Source organism: Homo sapiens, chromosome 12 (assembly GCF_000001405.40).
Source record: "Homo sapiens chromosome 12, GRCh38.p14 Primary Assembly".
Classification (NCBI taxonomy): domain Eukaryota; kingdom Metazoa; phylum Chordata; class Mammalia; order Primates; family Hominidae; genus Homo; species Homo sapiens.
Window position 1 is genome coordinate 45587317 of NC_000012.12, and position 25741 is coordinate 45613057.

At 40.0% G+C, this 25741-nt stretch overlaps 1 long non-coding RNA gene across 1 annotated transcript; it reads right to left on the reverse strand.

Moving 5' to 3' along the window:
* Positions 1–8509: 8509 nt before the first annotated feature.
* LOC105369744 (uncharacterized) lies at positions 8510–23330 on the reverse strand. Its single transcript, XR_944889.2, has 3 exons — positions 23223–23330; positions 13348–13468; positions 8510–8606 (listed from the first exon to the last, which is right to left on the reverse strand). It is a non-coding gene; the product is annotated as an uncharacterized LOC105369744 (long non-coding RNA).
* Between the last annotated feature and the right edge of the window lie 2411 nt (positions 23331–25741).

Here is a 25741-nt window from a genome sequence, read left to right on the forward strand (position 1 = left end):
ACTGCTATTCCACAATGCAAATAAGGAAGAATATGTCTAGAATACAGGAGATCGCTTAGGGTGTCTCTTAATATTATTAATACCATGCTCTTTGATTAAGATCAATGGGAAACTACAATAATCCAACCCAGGCAGACTATGAATGGCCCAGACCCTTCAGGAATAAAGGCTGGGTCCCACCCCACCAGGTAAAGAACCATGACTAGCTGAAGTGCTACTGAAGGCAAAGGGAATACAGAATGGGTAGTAGAAGAAAGTGGTTATAAATACCAGGTATGACCATGTGACCAGTTACAGAAACAAGGACTGTAATTGTCATGAGTATTTCCTCCCTATGGTGTTATGAATATGTTTGTGTATATATATACATATATTAAGTAAATATCTTTCTTTTCTTTCCTCTTTCATTCTCTTATCATGTAACAACATAAGATGTATTGAGTCTATATCGACATTTAAGTGTTATTAATTTTACATCACAGTATTTAAGTTACAGGATATCGAAGAGAAAGTAAACATCACTCCAGAACTTCACTTTCTCTTCAGGGGAAGAGATTAATGCATATCTTGGTTGTATGCAGGAGAGTTGTCTCGTATTCAATGGAATCATGACCTTGTCTTTATTTGGAGATTAAGTTTGGTTTAAGGAGATGCGCTTGTGTGGCAAGTTGACAAGAGGTGGATTTGCAATGGTTAATTTTAGGTGTCAACTTGACTGGGTCAAGGGTTGCTCAGATAACTGGTAAAACATGATTTCTGGGTGTGTTTATGAGGGTGTTTCTGGCAGAGACTGGCATTTGAATCAGTGGACTGAGTAAAGAAGACTCATGCTTACCACTGTGGGTGGGTAACATCCAATCTGTTGAGGGCCTGGATAGAACTAAAAGGCAGAGGAAGGGCTCTCTTCTTCATTCTCTATTCTGGAGCTAGAATATCCATCTTCTCCTGCCCACAGGCCCCAGCACTCCAGGTTCTTGGGCCTTTGGACTCTGTGACTTACACCAGAGGGCACTCCTGCCAACCCGGTTCTCAGGCCCTTGGCCTCAGGTTGAGTTACACCACCAGCTTTCTGGCTCTCCAGTGGGCAGACAGCATATCCTGGGACTTCTTGGCCTCCACAATCACATGAGCCAATCCCCATAAAAAATCTCCTCTTATGTATCTCTATATATCCTGTTGGTTCTGTTTATCTGGAGAACTCTGACTAGTACAGTCACACAGCTAGTAAATGCTGGAAACAGGTACAAATCCAAATCTATTATATTAACCACCTCTCCCCATACTGCCTCTAAGACAACTAGTAGAAAAGACCTCCTAAGGGAGAAGACAGAAACAACACTGGGACTTAATTATGTAATATGGAGTCTAGTGCAGTGTTGCTTCCCTTGTTTTTGAGTATTGCTCTCCCTCCAGCCTTTTTAGACTTTTTTCCCTTATCTCTACCTTCCATGAAATTTTAATACTGCAGATATACTGTCTATTTATTTATGTACTCTGGTCCTTTGGAGAGCCACAAATCACTGCAATATCTAAAGTTTTCTTCACTCTCCTCTCTCCCACCCACCTCTCCAGAACCCATTTTTATGTCACTGGGGGCTATATTGTCCCAATGAGAATGCATGATCGGTATACTTTGCTCACCTTGTAGGATATACCATTGATTTCACAGAATCACAAAATCTCAGGGTTGAAAATAACTTGAAGGCCATTTACTCTTTTGCAAGAACCTTAACAAGTGACAATATATCCTGTACTTGGACACTTATAGCAATGGAGAACTCACTACTTGACATGGCAGCCCCATTCATCTCTGGAGGGCTCTTTACTAGAAAGCACTCTCTTATTTTGAGCCCAAATCTAGCATGTCAAACTTTATTTCACTAGTCAGTTATTTCCTTTGTTGCTGAACAGAAGGTGCAAAGTTAGGTACAATAGAGGGTAGAAACATGCCGAATATTTGGTTTCTAGGGACCAGACCAGAAACTGGTAATTGTATATGTTTGTATTATGGAAATTCTCTTGTGGTTCACCTATTTCAAACCTTATGTCTCTAGACTTTGTATCTCTAATAATACAGTGTGAAGTTTCTCTAGTGTTTTGAAGAAGCCATATCATACTTTGTCATCTTACTATGAACAAAAATTTCTCAGTATTAGTGTTGTTTTTAGAGATGATGGAATTGGTACAATAAAAAGGAATGGAATAGAGGTAAGAAGATTAGGGTATAATTTTTAAAATGGGGGCTACTTTTTTTTATTTAAAATAACAGTGGTAATCAGTTGTAGAACTAAAAGTGTTAATATAACTATAAAATATGAGTGGAGAGGAGGGAAAAGGAGATGAGTGACAGTGAGATGAGGATGAGCTAAGCCCTCATGTTTCACAGTGGGAATCAATAGCACTGCCTAAAAGTGATAAATTGAGAAGTAGAGAAACAGACATATTTTGAGTAATGAAAATAGCTATGAAACTCTAAAGCCAGAAGCAGAAAGAGGAGTAGGATAGAGGACGGTTGGAAGATTCTTGCTTTTCTTCATAACTTCTTTTAAACCATCTGACTTTTAACCAAACACATATACACATTAATTAAAATTAAAAACAAAAGAATAATGCAATTTTAAAAACCACCGTAGTGGTCTCTAAAACAGACAGGTCACTGTCTGTTGGCCTGACTGGAATAAGTCACCTAATCTTGGATTTAAATTTCTCACCTGTAAAGTGAGAAATGGGCTACATCAGTGGTTTTCAATGTTTTAAAAATAAAATATTAGGCCAGGTGTGGTGGCTTATGCCTGTAATCTCAGCACTTTGGAAGGCCAAAGCAGGTGGATCACTGGAGCTCAGGAGTTCGAGACCAGCCTGAGCAACATGGCAAAACCCCACCTCTACGAAAAATACAAAAATTAGCCAAGCATGGTGGCACGCACCTCTAGTCTCAGCTACTCAAGAGGCCGAGGTGGGAGAATCACTTGAGCCCGGGAGGCAAATGTTGCAATGAGCCGAGATTGTGCCACTGCACTCCAGCCTGGGTGACAGAGGGAGACCCTGTCTCAAAACAAATAAACAAAAAAATAAAAATAATATTACACAGAACCCCAATATATGAAAACAATTTTAATGAGGCTGTTCTGATTGGGAGGGGAGAATACCAGGAGTTTAACCCACTGTGCCTCTCTCCCTTAGCCCTTCCTTTCCTTCACCCCCTCACCCTCACCCCTATCACAGGCAACCTTATGACACTTAATCAGAGAATTCTAAGAATTTAGTTTGAAAACCATAAGCCTACATCAATTTTTCAATTTATGATTGTAACCCATAAATGTAATGACTTTGGACTAGCACAGTATTTTTTTTAATTTAATAGAAAAAATCAGAATGCAGTCCATTGTATTGTTGTGTACAACTCTTATTTCCATGGGGTATGTGTGTGTGTGTGTACTGAATAAAGACAGAAAGTGTGTTTCTTGTTATCAGTCACAATGGAAACATCTACGTTTTTCCAACTCTAACATTCTCTGACTCTGTGACTTCTCTGAATCATCTACTCTCTCTCTTAGGATCCTTATATATAGCAGCCCAAATTGCAATAGAGTTTTTGCTTTCTGCTAGAAAATCTTTATATTTTCACAAGGTATCAAAAAAACTGCTGGCTGGTCTGGAACTCGGAGTCCCATTAGGAGAATGCTTGTATACCCAGGTCTTGGGTGGAAGAACAAGAGAGGGCATAACTGAAAATCCCTCTGGGTGATTCTAATATATACTCCTCCTCTCCTCCCACTCACTCATCCACAAGACAAAGAGTGGAAACAAGCTGGCAATGCAAATAGTAAAATATATTTGGGAGGAATCTAAATTACTAAGCCTCGTTTATTGAAAAGAATGCCCAGTGGTTCTTCTTAATTAGTGAATTTTTAGGCAGCAGAGTTCTAAAGTGGTAAAAAATGTCCTAGACATTTTTCATTTTCATGAATGCCAAAATAAATATGGTATTCTATATCATATTACCACCAGCTCAGGAAAGGACTACATTCTCATAATTGGAAGAAAACTAGAATAGATCCATAGGGGAGAGGAAAAAGTTGGGTCTTCCTATCGCTGGAGCTTCATGAACTCCTTGAAACTGTACAAAATTGTGTTTGAATGTGTACATGTGCATTTTTCTAGGATAAAAGGTCAATAACTTTCAACAGCTTCTCAAAAGAATGTGATTGCTAAAAAAAGCTAAAAATCACTGGGTTAGAGGATCATGTTCATGACAAAGGCAATATGAACCACCGTCTCCAGGTGAAAAAATTTTGACTTTACCTTAATCAATAGAAGGCTTTGTTGCTTTTTTTCCTTTTGAAAGGGACTTAAAAAAAAGTGCACATCTGCTTTCACTGAGGATTCATCAATTCAAAGGCAGACAGCCTTAGATGACATACGGCCAGCACAGGGAGGCCTTGGCCATCGGTTACACCTGTACCGCCTGGCAGCGAGCCCCTGAATGGGCACCTATGACAACACCCTCCACAGATCATGCACAGACTTGATAGGGGTAGCACGGCACAGTGAGAGAGCAACAGAGCTACCTTTATGATGCAGGACTATTTGCTGACTATTTCACAGGGAAGGGACATAAAGTTCATACTAAGTATTCCCTTCCCCCAGTTAAGGAAGTATGGATAGTGCATTTATTTTATTTCTTATACTTTACAGTAATGCTGAGACAAAAATGCCTCCATGGTGTAAAACTGACATGCTAGGTTTTTTACTACTGAAAACGTCCAGTGCATCTAGAAATGGACCTCTCCGGAGTGTGGTCAAAGCTTTTTTTCCATCTCAAAGCATTTGATAAAAACAGTTTTCTACCACTTACTAGGAAAGATGTTCAATATATCACCTCCTATGGCCAGAAAAGAAGAAGGGTACATTTCAAGAAACAGAATTCAAAGGAAGGAAGGATATAAACAACTATTAGATACTGAGTGCCTTGAAGGTCTGTACTATGGTTTTTGTTTTGTTTTTTATTTTTAAGCATCTGATACAGAATTGCATCTAATATGAAATCAAATAATCCTGTATTTGGAATAATGCAGATCTGAATCTTGGTTCCACAGCATCCTAGCTTATCCAACCTCTGAGAGTTTCACTTTCTTCATCTGTAAAATAAAATAATTTTATCCATTGCCTTGTGCAGGCACTGTGAACATTTTTTAAATCAAAAGATATAAAACTCCCAGCAAGTGTCACTGCTCAGTACATGTTGGTCCCTTGCCCCCATCTCTCACAGCCGCCTCACTCCTCACAGTGGACTTCTAAATCCCGATTTCCAGGAATGACAAAACTTTGGTCCTTCAGTAAAGTATCAGAAGGATACAGACAGGCAGTGGGGGGGTGGCAATTCCCCTCTAAGATATTCTATTTTTTTTTTAAATACTTTACAGTGTTTCAGGAGACTCTTGACAAGTATTTCAAGCTTATTTCCATGCTTGCCCCAAAACAGGCAAGCAGGAGGAGGACTCAGGTATGGCCCGTACACTATGCCCAAAGGAAGGTAGTGGGAACCAGCCTGGCTCACATGAGAGGTGTGATCAGACTGGAGAAGCTTTTGAAGTCTGGTAGCTTATTTTTAGGCAAATGGTTGGCATAGGAGCCATCATGAAGTAGCTGCTACACCTTTATGATGCACAGAAACTAGGTGCCCAGCAAGTATGAGTCTACCTAAGGGCAGTAGAGGGCTCATCGAAAGATGAGGCTTCAAGGATAGCTACAGGGATGGCTTGGGTCCTCATGGCGGAACTGGGGCACTGGACTTTAAGAAGAAGCCTGCTTCTCTAAACATGGGTCAGAGTGGAGAAGATATCAGTCAAGAGGCCTATTGGATGGATCAGGAACCCTGCAGGGTTTGTAGAGTGAAATATACATCAGGCAGTGAGAGGCGTTGAGCCCTGGGGACTCTCAGGGCACAGTGATAGAATCCAGTAGTCATCACTGGAGAGTCACATCTGCATTCCGCACACCAGGGAGGGGAGATCATACTACCTCCCCTCTGGAAGTGAGAGAGGGGAAAGAAGGGCAAGCTTCATCCCTCCTACCTAGACCTGCAGAGTGGAGGGGGACAGGGCTATAGCTGGAGATTGAGGGGGAGGATAACAAGTGGGAGGCAGCGCTGCAAGGGGGAGGTAGAAGGAGAAGTCTCTCTTCCAGAGCACATTTTCACCAAGGGGGATCTTCTGTAGCCTTTTTATTGAAAGGTAACTAGTGGCCATGATGGAAAGCGTACAAAACGTACATCATAACACCAGCCAATCAGGAACGCTATGGATATGTGGGGACATGGGATATATGAGAAATCCTGTACTTACTTCTCTATTTTGCTGTGCAAAATAAAGCTCCTCTTTAAAGAAAGTCGATTTTTTAAAAAACAAAAACAGTCAACAGACACTCTGGGCTCATTTCCTCACTACCCTGGAGCAGTTCCCTCCCCAGACACCCTGCCCAGCCCCTTCCCTTGGGATCTGACCACATCTCCAGTTCAGGTTTCAACTACGCCCTGGTAGACAAAACACCCTAAGTACTAAAGTCTGTTCTTGCTTTCCAAAAAAGCATCAGCTGTTTCTTCCTAGGTGCACATCCACAAATTACAGAATGTCAGAAAGAGAGCTACCTCCAAAGTAATCAGGAGGAAACCATGAAGATTAAATTAGCTTACTTGGGATTTGAACCTATTTTTCTCACTGACACTTTTTACAAACTAACATTTAGTTATATACCAACATTTAGTTATACACACACACACACACTTAGTTGTAATCGGGGCTCTCTCAACAGAACCAATTGCATATATATTTGAGAGTAGGATAGAGATATAAAGAGATTTATCATACAGAATTGGCTCATGTGATGATGGAGGCCGAGAAGTCCCAAGATCTGCAAGCAGCAAGCTGGAGACCCAGGAGAGCTGGTGGTGTAGTCCTAGTCCAAGAGCAAGTAAGACTGATGGCCTAGCTCAAACAGACAGACAGACAGAGTTGCCTCTTATGCAGCCTTTTTATTCCATTCAGGTCTTTACTTGATTAGATGAGACCCACCCACTTTAGGGAATGCTATCTGCTTACTCAGTCTAGCAATTTAAAATGTTAATCTCATCCGGAAACACCCTCACAGACACATACAGAGATAATGTTTTAGCACATGTCTGGGCACCCATGGCCCAGTCAAGTTGATATATAAAGTTAACCATCACCCAAGGGCTTGAATTGCACCTTAAAAAAAAAAATCCCCACTGCCATCATCTGATGTAGGTGACCATGAGTAGAAGAAAGGCAAAGTAATATCAGTGGTGGGTAGGCAAGCCAAACTGCAGACTTGATCATCCTCCCCAGGAATCCAAGAATTGCCCTATTTGTCAATGTATAAATATACTTTCGTTTTTTGGAGAAGGAAAAGAAAATAACTGGAGTACAGGTTTGAAATGACTGGATTTTATTACTTTAATTTCTTTTGCTCTGTTCAAAAATTTTGTAGAAAATAAATCCCATAAACTTAACACACCAACTATTCACAGCATTCCTTTTCTCTGCTGTACTTGGCCAAGATAGAGATCCACATTTTACAAAGGGTTCTGCTCTGTTTTGCTTAACCTTTTTAAGGTGCCTGGTGAGAGGCATGGACTTGGGGTCAGAGGCCAGGCTCTGAATCCAAACTCTGCCACTGTGTAGCCTTCAACAAATTGTTTTACCATGCCAAGCCTCCATTTTCCCCACTTGCAAAATCAGGAACAGCATGCATTTTCTCCTTTACAAGATTGCTGTGAGGATCAAATAAACTAAAGCATGTTGAAAGTATTCATATACTCTAAACCTTTATATAAATGTTGAACCACATACTTGTCATTTTATTAGTGACTCTGACTTCTGTCATAATAATGGGATCATGGTGTGTGTATTAGTTTCCTAATGCTGCTGTAACAAATTACCATCAACTTAGTGCCTTAAAACAACACAAAAGTATTAACTTACAGTTCTAAAGGTCAAAAGTCTAAAATGGTACCCCCTGGGCAAAAATAAAGCTGTTAACAGGCTATCATTTTTCTGGAGGCTTTAGGGGAGAATCAATTATCTTGCCTTTTTAACTTCTACAGGTTACCCACATTCTTTAGCTTGTGGCACCATTTCTCCATCTTGCAAGCCAGCAATGTCAGGCCAAGTCCTTCTCACATTGCCATTTCTCTGGTTCTCTCTCTCTCTCTCTCTTCTGCTTTTATCTTCTACTTACAAGGACCCTTGTGATTACACTGGGCCCACCTGGGAAATCCTGGTTAATCTCCCCACCTCAACATCAGCTGATTAGGACACCTTAATTCCATCTGCAACCTTAATTCCCCTTTGCCATGAAACCTGACATATTCACAGGTTCTCAGGATTAGGACATGAACATCTTTGGAGGGACATTATTATGCCCTCCGTACTTTATTTACTCATCCCCCTCAACGTAAATTCAGTTTTTAAAATACTGCACCTCTACACATTTGTTATATCTACTTTCCCCGATGAGTTTGAAGTTAACAGAAAACCTAACGGCCATTTTTCCAGGTCTACTTTCCAGTCCAAAAGTATTCATTCCTATTAAAAAAAAAAAGCTATTTAGAAAATTTTAAAATTCAATTAAAAAATTAAAGGAAGAAAAACATATATAATCCAAACACACGCAGCAATTGTCATATTTTGGCACATTTCCTCCAAGCATTTTTTTGCAGTTTTCTTTCACATAAGTGAGAGCATACCATCTATAAAAATGTTTATGCTGTTTAATACAATTGCATCAACATTTCAACTGTGCAAACCCTTTGTGAACATAAATTTTTATGGCTGCATAATATTTCATTGCAGCAAGGTAACATAATTTACTTGGATGTTATTGTTAAGCATTTAGTTTCTTTAATCTTTTACTTATTAAAGATAATAAATGTTAAGTATCTTTTATCATTCATATTTATTTACATTTATAGTTATATTCCTCTTAGGTGAGATTTTCAGAATTTATGGGCCAAAAGGAATGAATATATTTAAAGCTCTTGATAAATATTGTCAAAACACTTTCTTCAAATAATAGTCTATTTACACTCCTTCCAGCACTATGCTGGGTCAACACACCCTGACCAACAGTAGGTATTCTCATTCTTCTTAATCTTGGCTAGTTGAAATGGACATCTCATTGTATATGTATCTCCTTTGATCATGTGTGAGTCTGAACATTTTTTCATGTGTTTATTCAGCACTTATATTTCTCCATTTGTGTTTGGTCTACACATGAAGGTCATTTATTCTTTCCCAACCTAGTTATGCTTGTGGGGGTTCATGGCAAGAATGCGTCACTTCAACAGTAACTTGGAAATTCTTTCTCTGTCCTTACTCTGCTTGAAGGATCTGAGCCCTAATCAGATTCTCTGAGGACTACTATTGCCAGTTTTCCTCAGAACAGGCTTTCTTTACTGGTCTCAAGCTGCTCTGTGGGTTTCTGATGGTGTTTCTTCACTGTTCAGTTGTCAGGTCTGGCTTTAGCTGGCAAACCTTCCAAGAAATCCAGATTTTTCTCTCCTGCCTGCTACCTTCCCACCTCATTCTCATCTTCCTGTGTTCCTTCCAGCACCTTCCTAATGCCCTAATACCTGATATTCTAGTTCAGTTCCTGGAAAAAAACAAATCTTCAGTCACCCACCAGGGTAGGGAACAGGTAGCTGACCAGCTGACCCAGGTAGAAAACAGGAACAGGGGTCTCATTACTTCTTAGGTAAACATTCACCACTCCTCCTGGTTCAGTCTTACCCTTCACCTCCATTTCCATGGTATCTGGTGCCTCCGGTTCTAAGACTTGCCCTGGTTCTATGATGTGAACTGCCCATTTCTTTTAGTTATCCGCCTCTAGAGAAAGGTAGGTTTCAGTTATCCCTCATCTGCTAAATTAGTTACAACATACCTACTTACTTTTCAAACTCTAAACTTTTATTGATAACTCTGATCTGCTCTTGTCGCCTCTTCTGTTCTCTTTGTCCTTATGGGCTTACACATTTTGTAATTCCTTTACTGACATTTTGACGGGGCTTGGGGAGCCTGTGCTCAATACACTGTGTATTTCTTTACTCTCTGCCCTGGAGACCGTGTTCTTTCTTACGTCGATCCTCAAAAATCCTCATTTTCTTATCTTTTTGCCCTCCAAAGCATCTTGTCTCTCTCTTCTTCATCCAATATTTCCAGAACAATGTCTTAAATAAGCTTAGGCTTTTACAAAAGATGAGAAGTAGCATGATTCCAAGCAGCGTCCACGTTATCCTGTCCCATCCCACTTCTACCTACCCTACAACAATCACTGAAGTAAGACAACCCTGAGGGCCAGGCTGCCCATTGAAAGCAGGGGAGAAGGAAAATATTGGAGATCAATAAATGTAAGTTTATATTTAAGTATATAGACTTTATTTACTTACTGCCCATTTTCTATACACAATAAAATCTACAGAGCACCTGGTTGGACTGGAGTGTGTGGCTTCAGCTAGGCTTCTAATGCTGGCATTGCAAAAAGTCTCACTGCATTTCTTATATCCCAGAGTATGGTTAGTTTTATTTGCTAGGGATAGGACATGGCATCTTAATAAGAAAACCCTTCAGTTATAATTCACAGGTGATTTGTTCAGATCATAGTTAAGAGATATCAGGCCGGGAGTGGTGGCTCACACCTGTAATCCCAGCACTTTGGAAGGCTGAGGTAGGCGGATCACAAGGTCAGCAGTTCGAGACCAGCCTGGCAATATGGTGAAACCTGCCTAGCAATACGGTGAAACCCTGTCTCTACTAAAAATACAAAAATTAGCTGGGCATGGTGGTGGGCGCCTGTCATCCCTGCTACTCAGGAGGCTGAAGCAGGAGAATTGCTTGAACCCAGGAGGCGGAAGTTGCAGTCAGCCGAGATCGCGCCACTGCACTCCAGCCTGGGAGACAGAGCGAGACGCCATCTCAAAAAAAAAAAAAAGAAAGAAAGAAACATCAAAGATACCCAAAATCTACTTCCCGGACTGCGTGTCACTTACAGAGCACTCCAGTCCCACAACTATGCTGACCTCAATTATAAACCATTACTGGGTTTTTTTTTTTTCCAAAATACTTTTCTTGATTATTGAGTTATTGTGTTTAAGGGTTAGAAGTAGGTGCCAAGAAACAAGATTACAACTAGTATCTTGACATTTCAGATAATTTAATCTCAAAAAGGGGATACTTAAACTGGTTTTCATGTTTCCAGATTAACTGTTGACATCAAGTCAGAGACATCTCAACTTTCTTAGAGGCTCCTACTCCCAGTGTTAACATAAACAACAATAAAATCACTCTGCTTGCAGAGTCTAAAATAACCTCAGCAGAGTTTTCATTCCAAACTTTTTTTTTCTTTTGGAGACAGGGTCTTGCTCTGTTGCCCAGGCTGGAGTACAGTGGCATGATCATGGCTCGCTGAAGCCTTGACCTTCAGGTTCAAGTGATCTTTGTGCCTCAGCCTCCCAAGTAGCTGGGACCACAGTCACATGCCACCACATCCAGCTAATTTTTAATTTTTTTGTAGAGATGAGGCTTGTCTTAAATGTCTGGACTCATGTGATGTTCCCACTTTGACCTCTCAAAGTTCTGGGATTACAGGCATGAGTCACTGTGCCCAGTCTATTCTAACCATTATAAGCCACATTGTGAGACATTGAATGCAATCAAGGAATGTGCCCAAATAGTTCCCAAATATCCTACAAATTTACTTTAAAGAATAACATTTGGAGTTAAGGTCACATAAATCAGCTTAAAAATGACCAAAACTCTTTAATCTTGGAAGGAAGTAAATAACTGAAAAAAAAAAAAAAAACTATATATGGCATGATGGGAGATAAAGTCATATAAATGAAGGAAGGAAATCCTAAAACTCATGCATGTGTCAGAGAATCACATTAGAAAGTGTATTAGGATATATGCCAGGCACTGTGGCTCACACCTGTAATCCTAACACTTTGGGAAGCCCAGGTGGGAGGATCGCTTGAGCCCAGGAATTTAAGACAAGCCTGGGCAACATAGTGAGGCCCTGTTTCTACAAAAAATTTAAAAATTAGCTGGGTGTGGTGGCATGTGCCTGTGGTCCCGGCTACACAGGAAGCTGAGGCACAAGGATCACTTGAGCCTGAAGGTCAAGGCAACAGCAAGCCATGATCATGCCATTGCACTCCAGCCTGGGTGACAGAGCAAGACTCTGTCTCAAAATAAGTAAATAAATAAATACATAAATAAATACATAAATAAATGATTGCCTCCAACATTAGTCACAAGCACAAAATATAAATACAGTTCTTCCTTGTTCTTGTAACCTGATGGTTTCTCAGTCTACATAGTCACCTTTTCGGTCAAGTTTCAAAATTTAAAAAAATTCATTCAAGAGGAAAAGAAAGGACGTTGTTACTATCACCAGTACAGGCAATATGAACAACTTCATATAACTGTCATAACTTCTAAACTGAACATAATTTCTAAAGTCTAAACCTTAATGCTGTTCATAACTGTTTACGTAAATTGAGTCTGACTATATTTTAAAATACCTCCCTCACAATTCCACTTGCAAGTAGTAAAAATAAATCTCACTAGCATCTGAGTTTCTCACCATGGCTCCATCTGTTTCCTCCAACATAGACCTGTTTTCTTCCCATCCAACCTCAGAAGCTGATCCCCAAACCACCTCTTGCAGAATGGGATACAAGTTTAAAAGCTGGTATTATTTTCATCCTTTTTCTTATAAAACTTATAAAATAGATATGCTAAGGCTAGTGGTGAACCCCTCCATCTGGGTACCAAGCTGTTTCCTTCTATTTTATTTGAATGGAATAATGTAAAACTGCATGATCTCTAAAGTTCTTTAAAGCTGAGAAATCGAATATATCTATGATATCACTTATCATGAACAGATTTAAGTAGAGTTGGTAGGTATGTATCTCCTAGCCATCAAAATTATCTGACATCTCACCTTAAATCTTAAACATCCTAATTGATCTAGTATCTAGAAAGCAAGGTGATTGGTTAGGTCAGGGCATGGGGCTGAGTTTACCAGTGGCTCTCCATCACTGTGTAATAGCTCAGTGAAAAAATATTAGCTCCGTTATTAATGATGATTGTTAAAGTGTCCCTTGATAAAAACAAGCTGCTGGCAAGGTCTATACAACCAGCAGTAGGAACCCTTGCTCTCAAGTTTGTGAATCAGCAATACAGTAGGTGTGCCTGCCTACTGCCTCCCAAAATGCACATTAAGAAGAGAAAGGAAGAGGAGAAAAAGAGATTTCCATTTAGCTTTTACCTCTAAAAGCACTGTCAGCTTTGAAGGACTAAGCGATGGCAGAGGAGTTTGTTGTGCACCAAGGCGTGCATCTCAGACAAGGCCATTGATGGTTCCCTCACCTCCAGGCAGGAACAATTCCCTGAGGATGAGGAAGATTAAGTTCATACACATGCACACACACATGCACACACACACGTATAGCACTCCACAATGTGGGAAAAGATTTCTCTGATGTGAGGAGGAAAAAGGTTATTTTCTTTTTTTTTTATTATACTTTAAGTTTCAGGGTACATGTGCACAACATGCAGGTTTGTTACATATGTATACATGTGCCATGTTGGTGTGCTGCACCCATTAACTCGTCATTTAACATTAGGTATATCTCCTCATGCTATCCCTTCCCCCTCCCCCCACCCCACAACAGTCCCCGGTGTGTGACGTTCCCCTTCCTGTGTCCATGTGTTCTCATTGTTCAATTCCCACCTATGAGTGAGAACATGCGGTGTTTGGTTTTTTGTCCTTGCAATAGTTTGCTGAGAATGATGGTTTCCAGCTTCATCCATGTCCCTACAAAGGACATGAACTCATCATTTTTTATGGCTGCATAGTATTCCATGGTGTATATGTGCCATATTTTCTTAATCCAGTCTGAAAAGATTATTTTCTCATTGCCACGTTCCCTCTGCTTGGGAATTTCTAGTCATTACAGGTAGTGACAATGAAAATTATTTTGTCTTGATAATTCATTAAATAAATATTTATTGAGTGCTATTATATGCTAATAATCTTAACATTCTCCTGAAAAATGTTTCTTTCTTAAAAATAATAAAAGAAAATTATGTCATACCTTCTGCAAATATGTCTTCCACTCAAAGAACATATGCAGTACTAACAAAGTGTCTTATTTCAGCATCCAAGCTTGTCTCTCAGAAATGGCCAAGTGATATAACAGGTTCTGCTTCTAAGCCACGAGATGATTTATAATACCAACTAGTTATACCTCTTTAGGACATTATAGCTACTATAAAAACAGATACTTCTATAATATCTCAGGTGATGGCTAAGTCAAGAAACAATCCGTTGTATCTTAGCATAGTTGTGAGGGAAAGTTCTTCCATCTCTATATTAAAATAGTTAGTGTTTCCCACAATTTCTCTACATTGTTGCTAGTGTTGCCTTTTGAGGCTATGGAATGTTCAAGGCTTCCATTATTGGAACCAGAATTACAGTTGGCATTTACTGGGTGTTTACTAGGTATAGTGCCCTGTGCTAAATTCTTTGCAGACGTTATGTTATCTCCCCCTGTAAACACAGACCCGCACCATCCCCTTTTCCAGGCAAAATAAACCAAGATCTTCCAGCTGTTCTTTGTGTGATTGTTTCCAGACCTTTCAACATTCTGATCACCCTCCCTGGTCAGCTCCACTTTGTCAATGCTCCCGTTAAAATGTGGCATCCCTATCTAGTCACGATCATCCAGATGTAAGTTAATTGATTCCAAATACAGAAGAACTATTATTTCCTTGGACTGGACAGGGTATTCCTCTCAGTCTGGCCTAAGAAGAAAGGATCTTTGTTTGTTTTGGGGGTGTTTTATGGCAAATCACATGACTTGCTCATGTTGCCCTTGCTGTCAGTGAAAACCCTGAGTCCTTTCTGCATATAAACTGATTAAGCCAAATCTCTACCATCCTGTGCAGCTAATTTTTAATGTAAGGAAAATGTTCACTTTGTATTTATTCCTCCCTATTAAATTTACTGTTTTCCATTCGCAGCTGCTTCAAAGCTATAAAGATATTTTGAGGTCTTATTTATTTATTTTTGCTTTGTTTTGCTTTGTTTGAGATGGGGTCTTGCTGTGTCACCAAGGCCAAGGTGCAGTGGCACAACCATGGCTCACTGTAGCCTTGACCTCCCAGGCTCAAAAAATTCTCCCATGTCAGCTTCCCTAGTAGCTGAGACTACAGGGATGTGCCACTACACCTGACTAATTTTTGTCTTTTTAGTAGAGACAGGTTTTTGCCATGTTACCCAGGCTGGTCTTGAACTCCTGGTCTCAAGCGATCCTCCCACCTCAGCCGCTAAAAGTGGAATTACAGGTGTGAACCACAGTGCCCAGCCCTTATTTATTTATTTTTTTTAAGAGACATAGTCTCGCTTTGTTGCCCAGCCTGGACTCAAACTCCATGGTTCAAGTGATCCTCCCACCTTGGCCTCCCAAATAGCTAGGACTACAGGCACAAGCCACCATACCTGGCCTTTTCAGATCTCATTTTGTCACTCAACACATTAACTCTCTTTATAGCATCTCAAAATGAAGTAAGCATGTCTTCATCTAAGCAGATAATTTAAGAAGTTGAACAGACCCATGCAGCATGCCAGCTAAAGCTTTGCCACCTAGTTCATTAGTGGGAGATCCTGAGATACAAGCCTTCAACCAGTTAGGGAATCTACCTAATTATTTTATCTTCTTGACCCTTTTCTTCATCTTGTTCTCAGTGATACCCAGAAACTTCATCATCTGTTTTGTTAGAATCATGATGCATTCCTTCAACCTACCAGTTTGGTAACGTGAACAAAAAGAATGGCTGTTTTAAGTTGCTCTTGGTGAAGTCCTATTGGTTGCTGGTAACTGCAACTTTCTTTCTTCACCTAACAAATAAACTATCTCAAAATTCACTACAGAATCTTGCCAAAGATCAATATATTTTAGTTTTTTTCTCCTGGAATTCATGTTCTTTCTTGCCTCTACCAATACATACTATATAAATACTTTCTAAATATTGGGACACTATTTGCCTCCTCCTCCTCCTCCTCCTCCTCCTCCTCCTCCTCCTCTTCTTCTTTTTCCTTCTTCCTTCTTCTTCTTTTTCATTTTTTTTTTTTGAAACAAAGTCTCACTCTGTTGCCCAGGCTGCCAGGCTGGAGTGCAGTGGCATGCTCTCGGTTCACTGCAAACTCCACCTCCTGGATTCAAGCGATTCTCATGCCTCAGCCTCTGGAGTAGCTGAGACTACAGGTGTGCACTACCACACCCAGCTAATTTTTGTATTTTTTAGTAGAGATAGGGTTTCACCATGTTGGCCAGGCTGGTCTCAAACTCCTGGCCTCAAGTAATCTGCCCTCCTTGGCCTCCCAAAGTACTAGGGTTACACTTACGAGCCACCCTGCCTGGCTTCATCTTCATTCTTAATGCCTCTCTTTCAATCCTCAAGATTATTGACATTGAGACTGGATTCTTCTTTGCAGTCAAGTATGCTGGAATGAAATCCAACTTTTATTCCTGAAGTCATTTAAAGCAGGCAGGTACTTTTTCCCATCCCTTTACCTCCAGAGAAGTCTTTCTTAATATTATTTTATCTAACATTTCTAATGTGACTGTAAGTATCAACTACAGGAGGCAAGTGGGTCAATTATTTTTATCCTCCTTTCTTTAGAAATCACTGGGACACAGATTAATTGAGCAGTTAAGGAGTGGCAAAGTTAGAACTGAACCCAGTTGTCTTACCTCCAAATCCAGCACTTCCTAAACTACGTTTGTTGTCTCCTTTTCTTAACTTCCAGGAAAAAATGTTGCTTGTGTAAGTGAATCTGTATGCTCTGTGCTTCCAAAAATTAAAAATTAAAAATAAAACCTGGCCAGGCGCAGTGGCTCACTCCTGTAATCCCGGCACTTTGGGAGGCTAGGCAGGTGGATCGCTTGAGGTCAGGAGCTTGAGACCAACCTGGCCAACATTATAAAACCCCGTCTCTACTAAAAATACAAAACAAAATTAGCCAGCCGTGGTAGCGCACGTCTGTAATCCCAGCTACTCGAGAGGCTAAGGCAGGAGAATTGCTTTAATTGGGCAAACCTGGGAGGCGGAGGTTGCAGTGAACCGAGATTGCGCCACTGCACTCTAGCCTGGGTGAAAGGAGACTCCATCTCTAGGTAAATAAATAAATAAATGCGATATAATCTTATGTTTATTCCTCTTTGTTTTTTATTGCCAGAATTCCTGGATCCAAACACTGGTGCCTCAGCTCTGTTAAATCAAATTTAGCCTAAAGGTGACTCCTTACTTAAGTTCAGCCTAAAGGTTTCTCTGTACCTCGCGAATTATAACAAGTGGAGGTGTAACCAGACCATAGCCTACATTTGTGCCAATCACCGAGTTTTGGCCAATCAAATGTAGCCAACTGTTCAAACTGTGTTTCAATAAGGCAAACGCCAAGCTGTAACCAATGCGGCTGTTTCTGTACCTCATTTCTGTTTTCTGTACATCACTTTCCTTCTTCTGTCCATAAATCTTTCATCGCATGGCTGCACTGGAGTCTCTGAGCCTACTCAGGTTCAGGAGGCTGCCCAATTTGCCAATCGTTCACTGCCCAATTAAACCTTTTTAAATTTAATGTGGTGGAAGATTTTCTTTTATCAGCTCTGATCCAGAAAACCATCTACTATTTGTTGTTTTTCCTGTTATGTTTTTGCTTTTAGATGTCTTATAATTTCAATCTTTTGCACTTTAGAAATAGTCCATAAACAAATCTTAAGTAATTCATTTAGATTGTCTTTTTCTCTCGGGGAATTCCACTACAGATAGTGAAAGAACACCTCCTTTGATAGTTTCTTCCTTCCTGTCACCGCAGAGAGAAATTCTATTCCTTACATAGTTAGGGATACTGGAATTGCTACCTTAACACTCAAGCAGCTAATGTAGTCAGCACATGAATCTGCCTCTGCCATTTTCACTAGAAGAAAAAATTTTACCATCCCGTAATAAAAGCAAAGAAATTTACCTACAAAAATAAAAGACTTTCCAAAGATAGAACTGATCAGATACAAAATCCCAAAAGAAGATGAACTTTACAGGTAGTGGAAATGGCTAAAATTCTAAAAAAGATTTTCATGTGTGTAAATGTGTGCAAAGGATTTATGTTTTTTAAAATGTATTATCTTTAGTTTTCATTGGTTTGTCTTTGTTGTGCCTAGATTAGAGTTTCTTTTTGTAGTTTTACTCCTTGTGGTTCCCAGGTCTTCTTGAATCTGTTGCTTGATTGCTTTCATTCATTTTGGAAAGCTCTCAGCCATTATCTTTTCAAATATTATTTTTGGCTCATGTTCTTTCTTCTCTCTTCAATCTTCTGGATCTCCCGTAATACATATGTTAGCTCTTCTCATGGTATCCCATACAGCTATTAACCATTCTTATTTTTCTCCATTATTATTTTGGATATTTTCTTCTGACCTATCTTCCAATTTTCTAATTCTCTCTTCACATTTGTCTACTGCACACATTTATTATAGTCTTAATTTTTTGTGTTTTTTGTATTGCATCATATAGTTTCCAATTTTATGCTTAAATTCTCAATTCTGTATTATCTCCTTGAACATAGCAAGCATATATATTTTGAATTCTGTGTCTGGTAACTGTAATCGTAGAACCTACCTCAGAGAATGTTGTGAAGACTGAATGACAGAAGCCATATAAAGTGATTTGCATAGGGCTGATACAGAGTAAGTTCTTTTTAGGTAGTAACTATAGGTAGTATATCGTAAAATATATATTAAATACATAGTTCATGTCAAGAAGGAGCAGTTAAAAGAACAGCAGATGACAGTTACATATTCAGCCATCATTCTTCAGCTGCAATGCTTAATACTTGTGTGGGTCACCTAGTAAGTCCATTTTATTATCTCTGCAAACTTAGGCCTACCACTCAGCAGGAAGGTGGGACACTCACAAATAGACTTACATAAAAAAATGAGACAAGATAAAAGTAAAGAGGATTTGACATATGAAAATAGACCAGTCTCACAGAATGTTAAAAAAAAGAAAAAAGAAAAAAAAAAACAGTTAGAGTCCAGGCATGGTGGTTCATGCCTATAATCCCAGCACTCAGGAAGCTAAGGTGGGAGGATTGCTTGAGGCCAGGAGTTCGAGATCACCCTATCCAACATAGTGAGACCCCCATATCTATTAATAAAAAAAAAATTTTTCAAACCACTTATGCCTCTTTACATGTTTCCAACTGGTACCATAATTAAGCAACTTTCAGGAATAGAAAAATACTTCCTTAATATGATTTTTTTAAAAATATCACACACAGAGCCAACATCAACAACTGATAGAGACATTTCTATTAAAATGGGGAAGAAAACAAAGCTCCTGATAAAGCCACCATTATTTAAAATTGCACAGGATATTCTCAGCAATGTAGTAAGATACGAAACAGAAATGACACATAACAACTGGAAGAGTGAATATATTTATCACATTGTAGATTACAATGTTAGACAATATAAGAATACACTGGGAAAACTAGAGTTAAATTTTAGTGAAGTGCTTGAATGCACCCTATATCTAAAAATCAGTAGGTTTCTTTAAAAATACTATAATTGTGTACCTATTCATAGTACTAGTTATTATTTATTCTCCCACTCAAACTATCCTATCCCTGTGGCTCAATTCTTCACTGCTCCAATTATTTCTGCAACTTATGATCATTGAGTTAGGCTTTTATTTGTCTGCTTAAAATGCCAAAACACGGCCAGGAGCGGTGGCTCATGCCTGTAATCCCACCACTTTGGGAGGCAGAGGCGGGCTGATCACTTGAGTGCAGGAGTTCAAGACCAGACTGGGCAGCATAGTGAGACCTCGTCCCTACAAAAAAATTTGAAAATTAGCTGGGTGTGGTGGTGTGTGCCTATCATCCCAGCTATTAGGAAGCTGAGGTGGGAGGACCACCTGAGCCTGGGGAAGTTGACACTGTACAGTGAGCCAAGATCCTACCACTGTGCTCCAGCCTGGGCAACAGGGCAAGACCCTGTCTCAAAACAAACAAACAAACAAAAGCCAAGACAGGAATAAGAGTAATGTAGGAGATTGTGTTAAGACACAGTCACCCAGGAAGGTATATCCTACCTTCTTCTGAGTGCTGGAAGAGAATCAGACTGAGATGAGGCTTTTATTTATTCAACACACACTTGTGTATGCACAGACACTGTGCATATTAATTCAGGGAATACAATGATGCTAGGACTTCTGCTCTCCTGGAGCATGCTGTCTAATGAGAGAAATTAAATAAATGAACCCAAGATAATATTTATTAAGTGCTAGTTGTGATAAGGTCTGAGAAGAAATAACAGAAAAATAGAAAGTGATGGGGAAAGGGGGTCAAGGAAGAGAGAGAACATAAAATTTAGAGTGAGGGATCAGACTAGTCTGTCTGAAGAAATGCCATTCAAGTTCACACCTTATGGGCCAGGAAGGGGTTGGTCAGACAAGAGGGATGGGCAGCATCCCTAGAGCAAATAGCAAAGAGCTAGAAACAAAAGTCTAGTGAGCCAGGGGAAGAATGGTGAGAAGTAAAGATAGAAAGACAGGCAGGATCCACATGATGCAGTCTGTAGAAGCTGGGATGCTTTCTGCTTCTAATAATAGAAGGACAAATTAAAAAGAGCTCAAACAGTAAGAAGTTTATCATCTAACAAAATAATCACGACATATATTTAAATATATTATTATACACATAATAAATACAACATGAAGCCCAACAGTAGGTGGCTCCAGTCTGGCTGCAGGAGTGGGTGGGTCAGCTGCTCAACCACATCTTCAAGGGTGAAGTTTCTTGTTTCTTTCCCAGCCTCCTGTGCCATGCCTGGGGGTTGTCCCCTTAAGCTAGATCCTCTTATGGGGTCAACATGACGATTAAGGTTTTGAGGTGGTTTTGGTTTTTTTTGTTTTTTTTTTTTGAGACTGAGTTTCATTCTGTTGCCCAGGCTGGAGTACAGTGGCGCAATCTCAGCTCACTGCAACCTCCACCTCCCGGGTTCGAGCGATTCTCCTGCCTCAGCCTCCCAAGTAGCTGGGATTACAGGCATGCACCACCATGCCCGGCTAATTTTTTTTGTATTTAGTAGAGACAAAGTTTCATCATGTTGGTCAGGCTGGTTTCAAACTCCTGACCTCAAATGATCCACCCACCTCGGCCTCCCAAAGCGTTGGGGTTACAGGCATGAGCCACCGCGCCCAGCTGATTATTGTTCATTTTTAAAGAGTAAATAACCCCTCCACAGAAATGCTACTCCACTACTCTGTCCCTTCCCTCTCCTCCTCTCTCTCAAGCAGGTTTGTGACTTTGTTTCCTTAGATGGCTACAGCCAATGCCTAAAACTACCACTGGCAAAAAGAATGGAATTACTACGATTGGTTTACTTTAATTCACCCTGTGGGCCTGATCGCATGACCCAGGAACAATGACACTGAATGCAAGGTTCTTAACCTGGGGCCTATGAACATTTTGGTTAGCATTCAGGAATATCTGTGAACTGAGATGGGGAAAGCACTACCCCTTTATTTTTCAACAATCTCTAACTGAAATCGTTAACTGAAATCTTATTTCCTTCCATTATGAAGGTAGGCAAAAGACTACAGTCATAATAGGAGTGCATGTGATTTTATCACCAATAAAAATCACAGATATTTAATATCACAGTACAGTCACAGTTATGTTGCTTTCCTGCATTCCCCATCTTCACCTGCTTTTTGATCAATACTTGGAAGGGGTGAGTCAAAGACCATTCCACAGTTTAATGTTCTTATTCACTCTAAGCAACAAAGGCCTCCACACTAATAGATTTTCTAAAAATGTAAACTTAAACTTAACCAACCTGGAATTTGGTGAATTCTTTCCTTTTTTTTTCTATGCACTATCCTTACTACCTCCCCCAGCCTACACTTAACCTGCATTTCTTGTCCTCTCCATCCATACTGCTTCCCATCCCCATCCTATAACCCTTACTGTCTATCTTCAAGTTATTTACATGTGTATATAAAAACATAGGAGGCAAGAGATTAAAAACAGAAGCAGAAAACACAGTCTTTTCTCTCTCTCTTTCGCCTTAAATTGTAAAAGTAGGCCAGGCACAGTAGCTCACACCTGTAATCCCAGCACTTTGGGAGGCTGAGGCGGGCAGATCATTTGAGGTCAGGAGTTAGAGACCAGCCTGGCCAACATGATGAAACCCCGTCTCTACTAAAAATACAAAAATTAGCCAGGTGTGGTGTCAGGTGCCTGTAATCCCAGAAACTCAGGAGGCTGAGGCAGAAGAATTGCTGGAACCTAGGAGGCAGAGGCTGCAGTGAGCCGAGATTGCACCATTGCACTCCAGCCTGGGTGACAGAGCGCAACTCCATCTCAAAAAAAAAAAAAAATTTAAAAGCAGGATAAAGCCACGGTGGGGAACCCCTAGGGCCTTGGTGTCTGGGTTTGAAAGTATGTTCCACCCCTTACTAGAAGTAGGGCTTGGGAGGGTTTCAGGACCTCAATGAGCTTAATTTCCCCATTTGTATAATGAACATAATAATAATATCTGCATCACAGATGAGAAAATGCACATGAAGTGCTTATAAAGTGGTGGCACACAGTAAGTGACTAATGAAACTTTGTTATTACTAGTATCATGTGAGGAAATTATTCTGACTAAGTGCATAATTTGGTCAACTCTCCATGGCATACATCACCCAGTATTCATGTCTGAAGAGATTTTCTTCTTTTGTTGGCCAGCTAAGAAATTTTATTTATTAATGTGTTCAAGAAATACTTACTGAGCCCATACTAAGTTTCATCCCTTGTATTCAGTAGGGGCTTAGTTAACATCCTGTATAAACACACAATAGAATATGTTATGATGCTTCAGCTAAGGCGAACTCGTTGTATTTCTACCTATTATCATGGGAAGAGCTCCAATGTCAGAGTATTTAGTGGGAGAAAAAAGTTGCTGACAGTTTATCCGCACTAATTCCATTCTTATAAAATCACATAAACATACACGCAAAAATACTACATATTTTGTATGGATCTCTATATATTATGTAAATGTGCAGAGGAAGTTCTAGACTGGTACTCACCAAATTGGGACGGAAACTAAGATTGGAAGTGGGGGAGCCGTTTAAAAGAATGTTAAACGGCCGAGAACCGTGGCTCACACCTGTAATCCCAGCACTTTGGGAGGCCAAGGCGGGTGGATCACCTGAGGTCAGGAGTTCATGATCAGCCTGGCCAACTTGGTGAAACCCCATCTCTGCTTAAAATACAAAAATTAGCCAGGTGTGGTGATGCGTGCCTGTAATCCCAGCTACTCAGGAGGCTGAGGCACGAGAATCGCTTGAACCAGGAGGCGGAGGTTGCAGTGAGCCGTGACTGCGCCACTGCACTCCAGCCTGGGCGACAGAGCGAGACTCCATCTTAAAAAAAAAAAAAAAAAAAAGAATATTAGTCTTATGGGTTATGTTCAAATTTTTACATGAGGATGGAATATAATACCCAGATAATATCAAAAAAGCAATGCTGTGGCTCCTGCCAGATTTCCTGGGTATCTAATTGCCACAACCCATGCAATTTCTGACTTCGAATAGATTCGGTTAACAACTTTAAAAAAAGCCTAATCACACACAGAAGATCCAGTGTTGTCTCTCTTTTCTTCAGTGCCTTGGAGAAAAAGGCAGAGGCATATTTATATAAGCACACCTACACGACTTCTAAATTTACCCATTTAGAGATGTGCGCGCACAGACACGCTGCCTCCCAGGGAGACGCGCGCCTCGCCGGGGCTGAGGCTGGCGCTGGGGCTGGCGCTGGGGCTGGGGCTGGGGCTGGGGCTGGGGCTGGGGCTGGGGCTGGCGCTTGGGTCCAGTGCAGCTGCGCGTCTTCCTCCATCCGGCGCCAGCCCGAGTCCGCACCTTCCATCCTTTCGTCGGCTGGACCCTTAACAATGTCAGACTAGAGGAAGCAAGTTTAAAAGTCATGGGTGACAATTTTCACTTCCAATACGTGGGATGCTGAAGATCTGAGGTCCAGCCGTGCTCCTCCTCTGGCTTGCTCTGTGGTCCTGGCAAATCAGATTAACTTTCAGGCCTGGGTCAAGCGGAGGGGATGATGCGAAATGCTGTCAATCGGTTCATAGAGGAAACTTTGAAAATGCTGAGTCCTTAGAAAGCAGCAATGGTTTTACATGGTTATAAAGCACACTCCTTAGTGAGTTTCTACACACACGCAATGTATGTATTTTGGAAACATCCAATTATATTTCTGTGTATGGCATATTCTAAATTCTATGTCAGCATAAATAATATGATGTATATCTACAGTGTTTATGTATGTGCATAATTTTGTGTACATAAACATTGTATTTATGTAACACGCACATTTGAAGTGTCTATTAAATGTATATATTAATATATTTGCAAAGTTTTATCTCTTGTTCATGTCACAAATATAAACTCTACTGGGTGTTCATAATTAATATATAATGGCTATCAGCAAAGCCTATGTGTATAAACTGCATAATTTATAATGATGCAGACATGAGGTATCTTTAATATAGGACTAGTAACGTATAAAGGTAAAGCAAACAAGGTGCTTAGGGTGCAAAATCTGAGGAGTCCACCGCTCAGGTTCCTGCAAAGGCCGCTTGTCTCACCCTAGTACTGGTCCTGATAAAAATGCCAGTTTCTCTTATTATCTTCATCGCAACCAGAAACTATTACTCATTACTAAGTGCCAGGCACTGTTTTATGCACTTTAAATATATTAACCAAGCTAAAGAAATGTCATGACTACAAATAACATGAATTCTAAGTGAATTACAGGAAGTTGTGACTAACAAGTAAAATGTTTTGAAAGCCGTAACTCAAAAGTCCCAGCTAGACATGGCCTCTAATGAAGACTTCTGCAGTGAAGTGATGAGTCCATATCTCCCAGGAAGTCATGGCACCTAAGCTAAATCCAGCAGTCTTTCCTGTACATTAATTGTTTTTCTTTAATACACACTGTATCAAGGGTTCTACTGATCTCTCTCCACATTGGAGCAGCGTGGCAGGATATACGCTCCAAAACTTTCTGCCTAGATGATGGACAGACTTCAAAAAGAAGAATGATATGTATTTTCATTTTCTATATTACCGTTACTACTTTCAAAACTGAGGTAGATAATGGAGCTTATGATAGTCTAACTGTACTTCAACAAGATAATATGTTTATATTTAAACTCATTCAGAGACCAAGGAAGGGGGATTTACAGAACATATTATCTAGTATCTAGCTACAGGTGATTTACTGTTGTTCACTGAAATGCAGTTGAAGCACAAGATGGATAATAATATTATATTGTGGTATATATCCTGTTCACATCAGACCTTCGTAATAAAAGCCGAACACCAATCTACAGAACCTGTCTTAAATCTGCCATCTAAGATACTGATTGTAAAATAAAATGATCAAAGTGCAGTTTATCTCTATACTGCCTTCCCCTGAGATAGTGGTATGCAAAGAACTTCCTATTTTTTAATTTATTTACATTCAGTCAACAGAAACATAAATTAAATTAAAAACCTCAGTGTTATGCAGACTGAATAAAGCATACCTAATA